At 44.9% G+C, this 12,591-nt stretch overlaps 1 protein-coding gene and 1 long non-coding RNA gene across 22 annotated transcripts in view, besides 3 other annotated features; both read right to left on the reverse strand.

Moving 5' to 3' along the window:
• SFXN5 (sideroflexin 5) overlaps positions 1 to 12,591 on the reverse strand; it is a 129,677-nt gene that overhangs the window by 105,490 nt on the left and 11,596 nt on the right. For 12 of the 21 annotated variants that reach the window (NM_001371738.1, NM_001371743.1, NM_001371742.1 and 9 more), the window contains exon 2: positions 11,003 to 11,071. The exons of 1 other annotated variant lie outside the window; for it this stretch is intronic. In NM_001371738.1, coding sequence (NP_001358667.1) covers positions 11,003 to 11,071 — 69 coding nt within the window. Of the gene's footprint in view, positions 1 to 11,002; positions 11,072 to 11,482; positions 11,648 to 12,591 lie in introns of those variants that run through there. 8 more of the 21 variants (NR_138476.2, NM_001330411.2, NM_001330405.2 and 5 more) reach the window with 2 other exon arrangements.
• On the reverse strand, positions 5,804 to 8,003 carry LOC105374800 (uncharacterized). The gene is made up of 2 exons (XR_940239.2): positions 6,128 to 8,003; positions 5,804 to 6,026 (listed from the first exon to the last, which is right to left on the reverse strand). It is a non-coding gene; the product is annotated as an uncharacterized LOC105374800 (long non-coding RNA).
• Positions 7,830 to 8,330: an enhancer, noted in NCBI's record as "H3K4me1 hESC enhancer chr2:73282484-73282984 (GRCh37/hg19 assembly coordinates)". NCBI's record gives its function as "activates a minimal SCP1, AML or CMV promoter by ChIP-STARR-seq in primed H9 embryonic stem cells {active_cell/tissue: H9 hESC(primed)}" and the evidence as "EXISTENCE:reporter gene assay evidence [ECO:0000049][PMID:30033119]".
• Positions 8,331 to 8,831: an enhancer, noted in NCBI's record as "H3K4me1 hESC enhancer chr2:73282985-73283485 (GRCh37/hg19 assembly coordinates)". NCBI's record gives its function as "activates a minimal SCP1, AML or CMV promoter by ChIP-STARR-seq in naive H9 embryonic stem cells {active_cell/tissue: H9 hESC(naive)}" and the evidence as "EXISTENCE:reporter gene assay evidence [ECO:0000049][PMID:30033119]".
• Positions 11,166 to 11,666: an enhancer, noted in NCBI's record as "H3K4me1 hESC enhancer chr2:73285820-73286320 (GRCh37/hg19 assembly coordinates)". NCBI's record gives its function as "activates a minimal SCP1, AML or CMV promoter by ChIP-STARR-seq in naive H9 embryonic stem cells {active_cell/tissue: H9 hESC(naive)}" and the evidence as "EXISTENCE:reporter gene assay evidence [ECO:0000049][PMID:30033119]".

Genomic DNA, 12,591 nt, shown 5'->3' on the forward strand with positions numbered 1-12,591 from the left:
GGTGGAGATAATTGAATCATGGGGCAATTTCCCCCATACTGTTCTCATAGTAGTGAATAAGTCTCATTAGATCTGATGGTTTTATAAATCAGAGTTCCCCTGCACTAGCTCTCTTGCCTGCCGCCATGTAAGATGTGACTTTGCTCCTCATTCACCTTCTACCATGACTGTGAGGCCTCCACAGCCATGTGGAACTATGAGTCCATTAAACCTCTTTCCTTTATAATTACCCAGTCTTGAGTATGTCCTTATTAGCAGCATGAGAACAGACTAATACAGTAAATGTGAAATATTTATCTAAAGTCTTTCATCTGGATATTCCTCTTCTAGAAATTTATCCAACGGAATTAAAGGAAAAACAGTGAGATTTCTGTAAGAGGATATTTATTGCAATATTATTTATGAAAAAGAAACCACCCAAATGGTCAAGAGTAAATAATTAATAGAATAACCATGTGATGAATTATTATGCAGTTAAACACATTTTAAAACATTTCATGACATGAAAAACTGCTCATATACTCATAGGTAAAAGTATATACTTCAGGTATCATGCATACCATGGATATCCATTGCTATATAACCATGTATGACATCTATGTATCATGTATATACACGTATCATGCATATGTGCATATGATTCCTTATATATATTTATATAGAGATATAGATACGTACATATTGTATCAGTCATCCCAGTTTTTGTTTGTTTTTGAGACAGAGTCTCTGTCACCCAGGCTGGAGTGCAGTGATGTGATCTCGGCTCACTGCAACCTCCACCTCCCGAGTTCAAAATTCTTGTGCCTCAGCCTCCCGAGTAGCTGGGATTACAGGCATGTGCCACCACACCCAGCTAATTTTTGTATTTTTAGTAGAGACGAGGTTTCACCATGTTGCCCAAGCTGATCTCAAACTCCTGACCTCAGGTGATCCACCTGCCTCAGCCTTCCAAAGTATTGGGATTATAGGCATGAGCCACTGTGCCCGGCCAGTCATCCCAATATTGCACACATACATGGACCAAAATGTTAATGGTGATTATTTCTAGCAGGTTGGATGATGAGCAGTTTTTATTTTCTTTAGACTTTTATATGTCTTCCAGTATTTAGGAACTACTACCAGTATCACATCACATCAGGAAGCACACAACGTCAGTTTCTTTTCAATTGTTAGGGATGCTAAGTTTGGTCATCTGGCTAAAAGGTGTCCACTATTATAAGTAACATTGCAATTAATATCCTTGTATATAAATCTCACTGTACTTCTCTTAATTCCTTTGGATAAATTTCTGGAAGTGAGATTTCTGAATGAAAGACATTTTAAGGTTCTCCATTATAAAGGTACCCTTTCTTCTCCTTTGTAATTGCTAAGTAATCTGCAGGGTGATACTTTGAGAGCGAATGAGTATTCAGTTTCCCAAAAACGTTTTACTCTTTGGAAATAGTATTTATTAATGATCCTGGACAGAATCAGTTACTTCACTGAGTTACCAAAGGTAAAAAGAAGAGCTTCCCCATTCACATTTTTAGTATTACTATGTTATCTTACACTAACTGTGCTGCTATAACAGAATGCCACAGACTAGATAATTTATAAAGAACAGAAATTTATTTCTCACAGTTCTGGAAGCTGGAAGTCCAAGATCAAGAACCAGCATTTGGTATCTGGTGAGGGCATCTTTCTGAGGGAAGGAAGGCTGTGTACTCAACAGAACAGAACGGCAAGAGGGCCAAACCCTGTGTGAAACCTCTTTTATTTTTTGAGATAGTGTCTTGCTCTGTCACCCAGACTGGAGTGCAGTGGCGTGATCACAGTTCACTGCAACCTCGACCTCCCAGGCTCAACCGATTCGAGTAGCTGGGACTATAGGTGCATGCCACGACACCCAGCTAATTTTTGAAAAATTTTTTTAAGAGTTGGGGTCTGGCCATGTTGCCCAGGCTGGTCTCAAACTCCTGGGCTCAAGTGATTCTTGAGCCTTAGCCTCCCAAAGTGCTGGGATTACAGCCGTGAGCCACCATACCCGGCCAGGCCTCTTTTACAAGGGCCTTAATTCCATTCATGAGGGAGGGACCCTCATGGCCTAATTGCCTCTTAAAGATCCCACCTCTTAATACTATCACATTTGCCATTAAGTTTCAACACCTGAATTTTGTATGGGACACATTTCAGCCATAGCATCTCACCCTGGCCCCCCAAAATTTATGTCCTTCTCACAAATATTCATTCCATCTCAGTAGCCCCAAAAGTCAGTCATTCCAGCAGCAACTCAAAAGTCTGAAGTCAGAGTCTCATCCAGAATCCTCTAAATTAGGTATGGATGAGACCCAAAGGTGTGATTCATCCTGAGGCAAATTTTCCTCCAGCTGTGAGCCTGTAAAATCAAACAAGGTACAATGGTGGGACAGGCACAAGACGAATATTTATCTTCCAAAAGGGAGAAATACGAAAAAAAAAAAAAAAGGAGTACCAGGTCCTCAGTAAATCTAAAATCCAACAGGGCAAACAACATTCGATCTTGAGAATCATCTTTGATTCCATGTCCTGCCTTCCAGACACACTGGGGCAGGAGTTAGGCCCCCAAGGCCTTGGACAGCCCCACCCCCATGGCTTTGCCAGACAGCCATGCTTCAGCTCTCACACATTGAGGTTGCATTCCTGCGGCTTTCCCAGGCTGGTGCTGCATGCTGGTGGCTCTATTGTTCTGGGGTTGCAGAGACAGCCCTATCCCCACAATGCCACTAAGCATTCCCCTGGTGGAAACTGCAGTGGTTCCACACCTGCAGCAACTCTCTTCCTGGGCCCCAAGGCTGTCTGCAACATTCTTTGAAATCTTGGTGGAGGTAGCGCCGCAGCCACAGCGCACGCACACACACACACACACACACACACACACCCCTGCAGAGTTAGCACCACATGGATGCTGCCAAGGCTTACGCTTGTGCCCTCTGGAGCAGTGGCCCAAGCTGCACCTGGGTCTGCCTGAGCCACAGCTGGGGTGGCTGAGAAGCAATGTGCCAGAATACAGTGGGCAGAGACAAGGGGCAGTGAGCCCTGAAGTCCCACAGACACTCTACACGCCACCCTTAGAAACTTCTGCCCCTAAGGCCTTGGCACTCTGGGTCTGTGATGGATGTGGCAACCTCAAAGATCTGAAATGCCTTCAGGGGTCATTCTCGCATTGTCTTAATGAATAGCACCTGGCTTCCTTCTAGCCATACTAATCTCCTTATCAAATGGTCACTTGGCCACACTGCTGGTTTCTCCTAAACATGATTTTTTATTCTTTACATGGCCAGGCTAAGAATTTTCCAAATATGTATGCTCTGCTTCCCTTTTCATTATAAATTCTATTTTTGAATTGTTTCGCTCTTCTTACGTTTTACTATAAGCAGTTAAGAGAAGCCATGAAGCATCCTGAATGCTTTGCTGCTTAGAGATTTCTGCCACATACCCTAGTTCATTGCTCTCAAGCCCTGCCTTCCACGAAGTCCTAGGACACAGGCATAATTTGGCCAAGTTCTTTGTCACTGTAATAAGAATGGCCTTTCCCCCATTTCCAATACCTTGTTCCTCATTTCTGTTTCATACCTTATCAGAAGGGTCTTCACTGTCACTATCCCATAAGTTACTTCTAAAAGGAAGGAGGCTTTCCCACAGCTCTTCTCTTCTGAGCCCTCATCTGAATTGCCTTTATTGCTCTGTTCATGGCAATGAGACTTTTTCCAGCACTTTTTTTTTTTTTTTTTTTGAGACGGAGTCTTACTCTGTCACCCAGGCTGGAGTGCAGTGGTGCAATCTCAGCTCACTGCAACCTCTGCTTCCCGGGTTCAAGCAATTCTCTGCCTCAGCCTCCCGAGTAGCTGGGATTAAAGGTGCCCATCAGCATGCCTGGCTAATTTTTGTATTTTTAGTAGAGACAGGGTTTCACCATCTTGGCCAGGCTGGTCTTGAACTCCTGACCTTGTGATCCACCTGCCTCGGCCTCCCAAAGTGCTGGGATTACAGGCGTGAGCCACCGCCCCCAGCCTTCCAGCACTCATTTCAAAACCATTCCAGCCTCTACCCTTTACCAAGCTCCAGAGCTGCTTCCACATTTTTAGGTATTTGTTATAGCAACACCCCACTTCTGTAGTATCAATTTCTGTTGTAGTCCGTCTGTGCTGCTATAACAGAATACCACAGGCGGGTAATTTACAAAGAACAGAAATTTATTTCTCACAGTTCTGGAGGCTGGAAGTCCAAGATCAAGGAACCAGCATTCAGTGTCTGGTGAGGTCTGCATCCTTCAGAGGGGAGAAATATTGTTGTCTCACAGGGAAGAAGGCAGAAAGGCAAGAGACCCTAGCAGCTGTGGGAAGCCTTTTTTATAAAGGTTTTAATCCCAGTCACAGCCTAACCATCTCGTAAAGGCCCCACCTCTTAATACTATCACATTCACCATTATGTATGGCGTGGACACATTCAAACCATAGCTTATGAACTCACGGATTTTTTTTTTAATTTAATGTGTTACAATCCATTGCTGTTTTTCTTAATGCTCAAATTGTCCCAATGCAGCCAGTGGATTTCCTTTCAAGCCAGTTCCTTTGTCTCCATCATTCTTTGAGCACTTCCTCGCTTTCTGTAGCAACACTTGCAGCCTCAGACCTGGAATCCACCATTTATCCAGGAAGCCCTCGTTCCTTTTTGTGGGTAGCAGTATTTAGAAACCAAGATCTGGGTGCTACATGTGTTCATAGTTACTGTGGTGTCAAAAGTTCTAGGCCCTTTCAGAAAACAGAGCCAGAAAATTAGAAAATGTAAGAGAGAGAGTGTGTGTGTGTGTGTATGCGTGTGTGTGTGTGTGTGTGTGTGTGTGTGTGTGATGAGTGCATATTGGTACCTCCAATTCAAATACAACATCACATAGTTCTTTGTCTTTTCCCCTACTCTGTATTTGTATCTCTCATCTCCCACAGTGAAAATGCTGGTTCTCCCCATCAGTATAATTATTTATTCTATCCTATAATATACCCCAAATAGTTTCAGATTGTGACACGAGTTCTAGTATTGAATTGTTATTAATACTATTTCAGTTAGTTTTCTATGCCCTTCATGATGATAATCTGTCAGCCATTCATTTCCTTAAGTAATTACTGAATTCAGGATAGCAAATGCCTTCCATCTTCGGTCCATAATTAAGAGTAATTCAGATGTTGTACAGCCTTGTCTTTAGAGATCTAGATCTAATTCCCTGGCCTACAGAGAAGGCCAAAGATTTCTCCCTTTTGCTTCTGCAAGCTCCTGGTAGTTTCCTTCATTGAAAATAATTCTGCACACACTGCACCCTGGCAAGGAGACTCATAGCCCTTCAAGATTCCCCCACATGGCCAGACACAGTGGCTCATGCCTGTAATCCCAGCACTCTGGGAGGCCAAGGCGGGCAGATCACTTGAGGTCAGGAGTTCAAGACCAGCCTGGCCAACATGGCAAAACCCCGTCTCTACAAAAATACAAAAATTATCCGAGCATGGTGGCATGCACTTGTAGTCCCAGCTACTCAGGAGGCTGAAGCACGAGAATTGCTTGAGCCCAGGAGGCAGAGGCTGCAGTGAGCCAAGATGCCACCGCACTCCAGCCTGGGCAACAGAGTAAGACTCTGCCTCGAAAAAAAAAAAAAGGAAAAAAAAATCCCCCAAATCATCTCTTGCAGAGATTTCACAAACCAGGCATATTTTGCTGACAACTTCCCAGGAATTATGGTAGAAGGAATAACAGCGCAAATTCACAGCTCTCACAAAAACAGTCAGCAACACTGATCTCAAAAGAGCCCCCAGCCACACCTCATTGTGGCATTTCTTTATTGGTCTTTCAGCTCATCTCAGTATCATGCTCTCCTTCCCGCTGTTTTTTTCCTCCTCTTCCTTCCCTCTCCTTTCTCCATTTAGGATCAAAATGCACCATTCTTCTCCTCTGTCAAGCAGGGCAACCTCCTCCTCTGAAGCTTTGTTCAAGGCATTCTTAGAACAAAGACAGCCTTCTTCCTAAGAAAAATTACAGTGAATAAAATTTCCTCTGCCTTATTACACATACAAGGGTTGGGATCTTTTTAAAGTGAGGTCATTTATAAACTACAAAGAAGTACCTGCAAAATTCCCTCAAGAGGAGTTTCTCCATTGATTCAGCTAATGTCCCTCAGAACCAGGTCACCAGATGGCTCAAGCTGCCTAGGATCTTTCTACTTCTGGACCCCCCAGCTTCCAGAGCCACCTCCTCAAGTCCTCACGACCTCTACTGTTCTCTCTTCATCACAGACAAATGAGCTCATCCAAATTTCCTCCAGCTAAGCAGCAACCACCCCGTGCTCCCTCCCAGGACACCAGCCAAGGGCCCTGGGAGGAAAACAGTATTTATGAGCCATGGTCTGTGGACTGACTCCAGCATTGAGGGGGAGCCTGGCCCTCCCAGTGCCCCACAGCTCATCGGGAGGGACTCAGAGGCCTCTAATTTCCCATTGCATTGATGGAGATGACCTTGCTAAATAACCTGCCTAGACGAGAGCCAATGAGGAGTATGGCCGCTATCTTGCTTGCCCAGAGGTCCCATTCATGGCCCTTCCAGAGTTTGTGGAGCCTAGAAGATCTTCTGTTGGCAGAAGCTTTCAAAAAGGCCAGCAGGTAGTCCTGGAAACAATCCCCAACTGGGGTACAGTGGGGAGGAGAAGTGCAGATCTTTCTACAAAGTCTATCTGAATCTCTGATGACAGAAAGGAACATTGAAATTTGAAAAATACTCTAAAATTGGAGTTGCCTTCATTATTTTCTAGTCAGTAAATATTTAAGTTGCCTTGATATTTAAATTAATAGTTTTTTTTAAGTATGAAATTTAGACAATTTACTCATAGGAGAAATGGGCCAAAAATGTACAAGAATGTTGGGGTCTTTCAAAATGCAAGAGTTGAAGAATAAAATTGTGGTACAAGGAGGAGAGTAGTGAAATGAAATGATCCGAGAATGGGAGGAGGAGGGACTGGGAAAAGGGAGCGGGGACCCTCCTGGCACAGGCAGCATGCTACCCTGTAGCTGCTCATCCATCACCAAAGCCCCTGCCTGTTCATGGTAATCTGGCAAGCAATGAAATACCTCCCTGCTTCCCACGTCTCCCTCTACCATGTCTCAATATGTCTTGAAGTCCACCATTAGCACCTCTATCCTTTAAGTCTCAGCTGACTCCTCCATCAAATAGGTGGCATTTATGTTGGGATTTTAGGACTGCAAATGTGTCTAGTTTTGCAGTTCTGGAACTTTCTAGAATCACACATTAGGTGGGCTAGATAAGTAGTTTCTCTAGTTTTGTGCTCTTGCAACTTTTTATGTAATTGCATTGATTATTCCTTGATTACTTCTTAGGAGAATCCAGACAGAGCCCAGGTAAGCAACTAAAATACCTATGCCCTTTGTCCTTCTGAGATGCAGTAGGAAACCACCTGTCAGGGTAATTCCCACATTTCATGTTACTGGGCTGCTCCCCTGGACATGAGGGGGGATGGTTCTAGGCCCAGGTGCCCAGCAAGCCTTGTGCTCCTTTCTATCATGGCTTTTCTCTCCCAGAGCTGGTCAACTCCAGGGCTTAAAGCAAGTAAGCCAATGTCAGCACAGAGAAGATGTGCAGTGAAGTGCTGCCCACGTGACGGCCAGGGCCAAAGCTCAGGCCTTCTGCCGTGTAATCTCGGGCAAGTTCCCTAAACTCAAGTTATTTGAACAGGAATGCAAATGGGGTGAGAATAAGGGTCTGGAGACAAGGGTCCCCGGGTTCATACCCTGGCTCCATCACTTGCCAGAACCATATGCATGAGGCTTAACTTCCAGTCTGTCCTTTTCTTTGTCTGTAAAATGGAACTTATAATAGCATCCACATCTTAGGGCTGCTTTGAGTTAATCTGATAAGTTAATGCATGTAAAATGCTTACAAATTGCCTTGTTCATAGTACTTAATAAATATTTGACATTTTAGGCCGGGCACGGTGACTCCCGCCTATAATCCCAGCAATCTGGTAGGCTGAGAGGGGTGGATTTCTTTTTTTTCTTTTTCTTTTTTTTTTTTTTTTTGAGACAGAGTCTCACTCTGTTGCCCAGGCTGGAGCACAGTGGCACGATCTCAGCACAATGGCACGATCTCGCCTCACTGCAAGCTCCGCCTCCCAAGTTCACGCCATTCTCCTGCCTCAGCTTCCTGAGTAGCTGGGACTACAGACACCCACTACCACGCCTGGCTAATTTTTTTGTATTTTCAGTAGAGACCGGGTTTCACCATGTTAGCCAGGATGGTCTCAATCTCCTGACCTCGTTATCTGCCCGCCTTGGCCTCCCAAAGTGCCGGGATTACAGGCGTCGGCCACCGGGCCAGTGAATGTCTTGAGGCCAGGAGTTTGAGACAAGCTGGCCAACATGGTGAAATCCAGTCTCTGCTAAAATACAAAAATTAGCCACGCGTGATGGTGCATGCCTGTAATCCCAGCTACTCGGGAGGCTGAGTCACGAGAATCACTTGAACCCGGGAAGTGGAGGCTGCAATGAGCTGAGAACATGCCACTGCACTCCAGCCTGGGCAACAGAGCAAGACCTTATCTCAAAAAATAAATAAATAAAAATAAATAATATTTGACATTTTATATGTACATATATTCCTACATACATTTGTAAATACATATAAAAAGTCCGTCAAATTAGCCTGTTGTGGTGGCAGGTGCCTGTAATCCCAGCTAATTTGGAGGCTGAGGCAGAAGAATCACTTGAACCTGGGAGGCGGAGGTTGCAGTGAGCTGAGATCGTGCCATTACACTCCAGCCTGGGGGACAAGAGCGAGACTCTGTCTCAAAAAAAAAAAAGTATGTCAAGGCCAGGCGCAGTGGCTTACGCCTGTAACCCCAGCATTTTGGGAGGCTGAGGTGGGTGGATCACCTGAGGTTGAGAGTTCAAGACCAGCCTGACCAACATGGAGAAACCCCATCTCTACTAAAAATACAAAATTAGCCGGGCATGGTGGCGCACACCTGTAATCCCAGCTACTTCGAAGGCTGAGGCAGGAGAATCGCTTGAACCTGGGAGGCAGAGGTTGCGGTGAGCTGGGATCACACCATTGCACTCCTATCTGGGCAACAAGAGCAAAACTCCGTCTCAAAAAAAAAAAAAAACACAAAAAACAAAAAGTCTGTCAAGACATACTTCTTAGAATGGCTGAAATAAAACAAGATTTTTAAATTTGACAATAGCAAGTGTTGGTGAGGAAGTGGAGCAACTGGAACTCTCATACACTGCTGATGGAAATGTAAAATGTACAACGCTTTGAACAACAGTTTGGCAGTTTCTGATAAAGTTAAACATATATTTATCACACTTATCATAGGATCCAGCAATCCCATTCTTATTCCTTCAAGAGAAATGAAAGCATACATCCACACAAAGAATGTTCATATAGTTTTATTCATAATAGCCAAAAAACTGGAAAGAATCCAGGTGTTTATCAACAAGTGAATGGATAAACAAATTCTGGAACATCCTTTCAATGGGACACTACTCAGCAGTAAGAAGGGATTAACTACTAATACATGCAATGACACAAATGAATCCCAAAAGCATTTTTTTTTTAAAAGATAGGGTCTCACTCTGTTACTCAGGCTGGAGTGCAGTGGTACAATCATGGTTCACTGCAGCCTCAACTTCTCAGGCTCAAGCAATCCTCCCACCTGAGCCTCTCGAGTAGCTGGGACTACAAGCATGCACCACCACACTCGGATAATTTTTTAAAATTTTGTAGAGACAAGTCTCACTGTGTTGCCCAGGCAGGTCTCACTATGTTGCCCAGGAGGATAACTCCTGCCTCAGCCTCCCAAAGTGATGAGATTACAGGTGTGAGCCATTGCACCCAGCCTCAAAAGCATTGTGTTAAGGTAAAGAAGCCAGATACAGAAGCCTGCATACTGTAGGATTCCATTTATATGACATTCTGGAAACAGCAAAACAACAGAAACAGAAAGCAGATGATTGGTTGACAGGGGGTGAAGACAGGGAGGAATTGATTATAAAGAGGTATGAGAGAACATGTAGGGTTATGAAAATGCTTCACATCTTGATTGCCCATATGGTTTGCTTCTGTGTCCCCACCCAAACCTCATCTCAAATTGTAAACCCCATAATCCCCACATGTTGAGAGAGGACATGGTGGGAGGTGATTGAATGATGGGGATGGTTCCCCCATGCTGTTCTCGTGATAGTGAGTTCCCATGAGATCTGATGGTTTGTAAGTGCTCAGAAGCTCCTCCTCCATTCCTCTCTCTCCTGCCACCTTGTGAAGAAGGTGCCTGCTTCCCCTTCCACCATATCATTTCCTAAGGCCTCCCCAGCCATGAGGAACTGTGAGACAATTAAACCACTTTTTTTATTAATTACCCAGTCTCGGGAATTTCTTTATAGCAGTATGAGACCGGACTAATACAACTGTGATGGTGGACACACGACTGAATATGGCTGTCAAAACTTAAAGAACTGCACACATAAGAAAGGTAAATTATACCTTAATAACCTGATGTTAAAAGCCATTAACAGCTGTTACCTATAAGAGGAGGGAACTAAGTAGGGAGGACGATTAAAGGATACTTTTTTCTACTTAAACATATTTGTACTGTTTGAACTTTTCTAATGAGCAAATAACTTATGTACTTGATAATAATTTCTTGAAAGTTTTAAAGAATAACAATAATATCTATCTTAAAGGGTTGTTGTGAGATCCAAATGATATAATGTAAAAAGCATACAGCACAATGTATCAACTCAGATACAGACAGACACACAGATACATAAACAGACAGCTACAGGTAGAGAGAATTTGTTACCTTCCTCTCACCTCTCACCTCCCCTATTCTCTTCACTCCCCCATCCTCACCCTCCCTTAATGACCCACATATTCTGAAATGACAAGGTACAAAGGCCCAAGGGCCACTGAGGTGACAGCCATGACTTACCTCAGTGACAAAGAGTGTGCGAGGGTCGATGATATCCAAGAAGTGCCTGAAGCGGCCATAGAAGGACGTCTGAAGAAGAGGATGAGAGAGAAGAGTGAATGGATCAGCTGCTGCACACCCTTCTCCAGACACTGGAGAGCCCCACCCTTTATGATTGGGGTCCCCCGGTCCCCAGGACTCCTCGTGTGGGTGATAAATGCCAATGAGGCCTCAGAAATCTAAGGACAGCTTTCCTGGGGCTGAGAGTTTTCCAAAGTCAACTCAGAGAGACCACTGAGATACTCAAGGACAGGCCCATCTGCTCTTCCAGGTGACTTCCATTTTCCCCTCTCTCTCCCAGTGCCCTGAGATCTATTCTGAGCCTATTAAAAGCTCCCAAGCATCCCTGGACATGTAGGCTGAAGGTGAGGCCTGGTCCCCAGCCCTCTCCCAGCCTCCCTGCCTTGCTCAGGACCTTGAGTGACAAAGCATCCTGCCTACCCGCCACAGGGTCCCTCCCCAAGGTCCAGCTCTGCCTCCAGGGGGGATCCCCAAGGGCAGCTCAAGCCTAAAAGCACTGAGCTCACAATCCTCAGGCCCTCCTTCACCCACAGCCCTGTAGCTGCTGAAGTGCAGGACAAGGGGCAGCTCCCCCAACCTTGCCCCAGAGCAGGGGCCGTGGAAAAGGAGGGCTTTATGCTAAGCGCAGCCACAGGCATTGGAGCACAATGAAAGGAAACCAAGCAACCCGGCTGCTGGGCCTTCTGCCCTGGGGACTAAGCCAGCTGGGCAAAGCTGAGCTCAAGGGGAAGACAGAGGGTGCCAAGCTCGGGGATGAAGGGGAAGCTGCAATCGCTGGGGTTCATGCCTCACTACACTCCGGGCTCTGCCCCAAATTCCTCCCTGGAGCCCCACAACTCTCCAAGCACCATCCTTTGCACAGTGGAGGAAACAGAAGCCTCCACATTCCCTCCCCTTATTTAGTAGGACACCAGACCCTGCAGCCAATTCCTGTTCCTTTCCCTTCCCAATAAGGACCCTGCAATAGGCTCCAGGTCACCTCAAAGTCCCCCCACACACCAGTTCTCATCCCACCTCCATTTCTCTCCCACCATGGCACCCCTGCATGAAGCAACCTCTAACCCCTAATGCCACCCCTACCCAGGTGCTGTCTCTCACAAACCAGATCAAGCTTTGGTCCATTCCTAACAGAAACAGCTGCCTCTCTAACCTCTTATAATCCACACAGCCCAGACCATTTTCCCATTAAAGACATACATAAGGGAGGCTCACAATGCTGTCCTGGCAAAATTTCACCTCTGAGAATGTAGTCTAAGGAAACAATCCAAGATGTTCAAAGATCTGGTCAGGTGTACATACCAAGGATATTCACTGCTGCATTCTTTACAAAGGTGGATGGTTAAATAAATGATGGTCCATTCATATGACTGAATACTATGCAGCCTTTAAAACTATGTTTTCAAACATTTATGACATGGAATAATGCTTAAAATTTTATGAAATGCATATAAGCAGTGTGATTCCAACTCAATAAACAAGGGGATAAACAGAGCTAGACAGATACTAAGTGAAAAGCAAAAAGACCAAAT

The sequence above is a fragment of the Homo sapiens genome, chromosome 2 (genome assembly GCF_000001405.40).
Source record: "Homo sapiens chromosome 2, GRCh38.p14 Primary Assembly".
In the NCBI taxonomy this organism is placed as follows: Eukaryota; Metazoa; Chordata; class Mammalia; order Primates; family Hominidae; genus Homo; species Homo sapiens.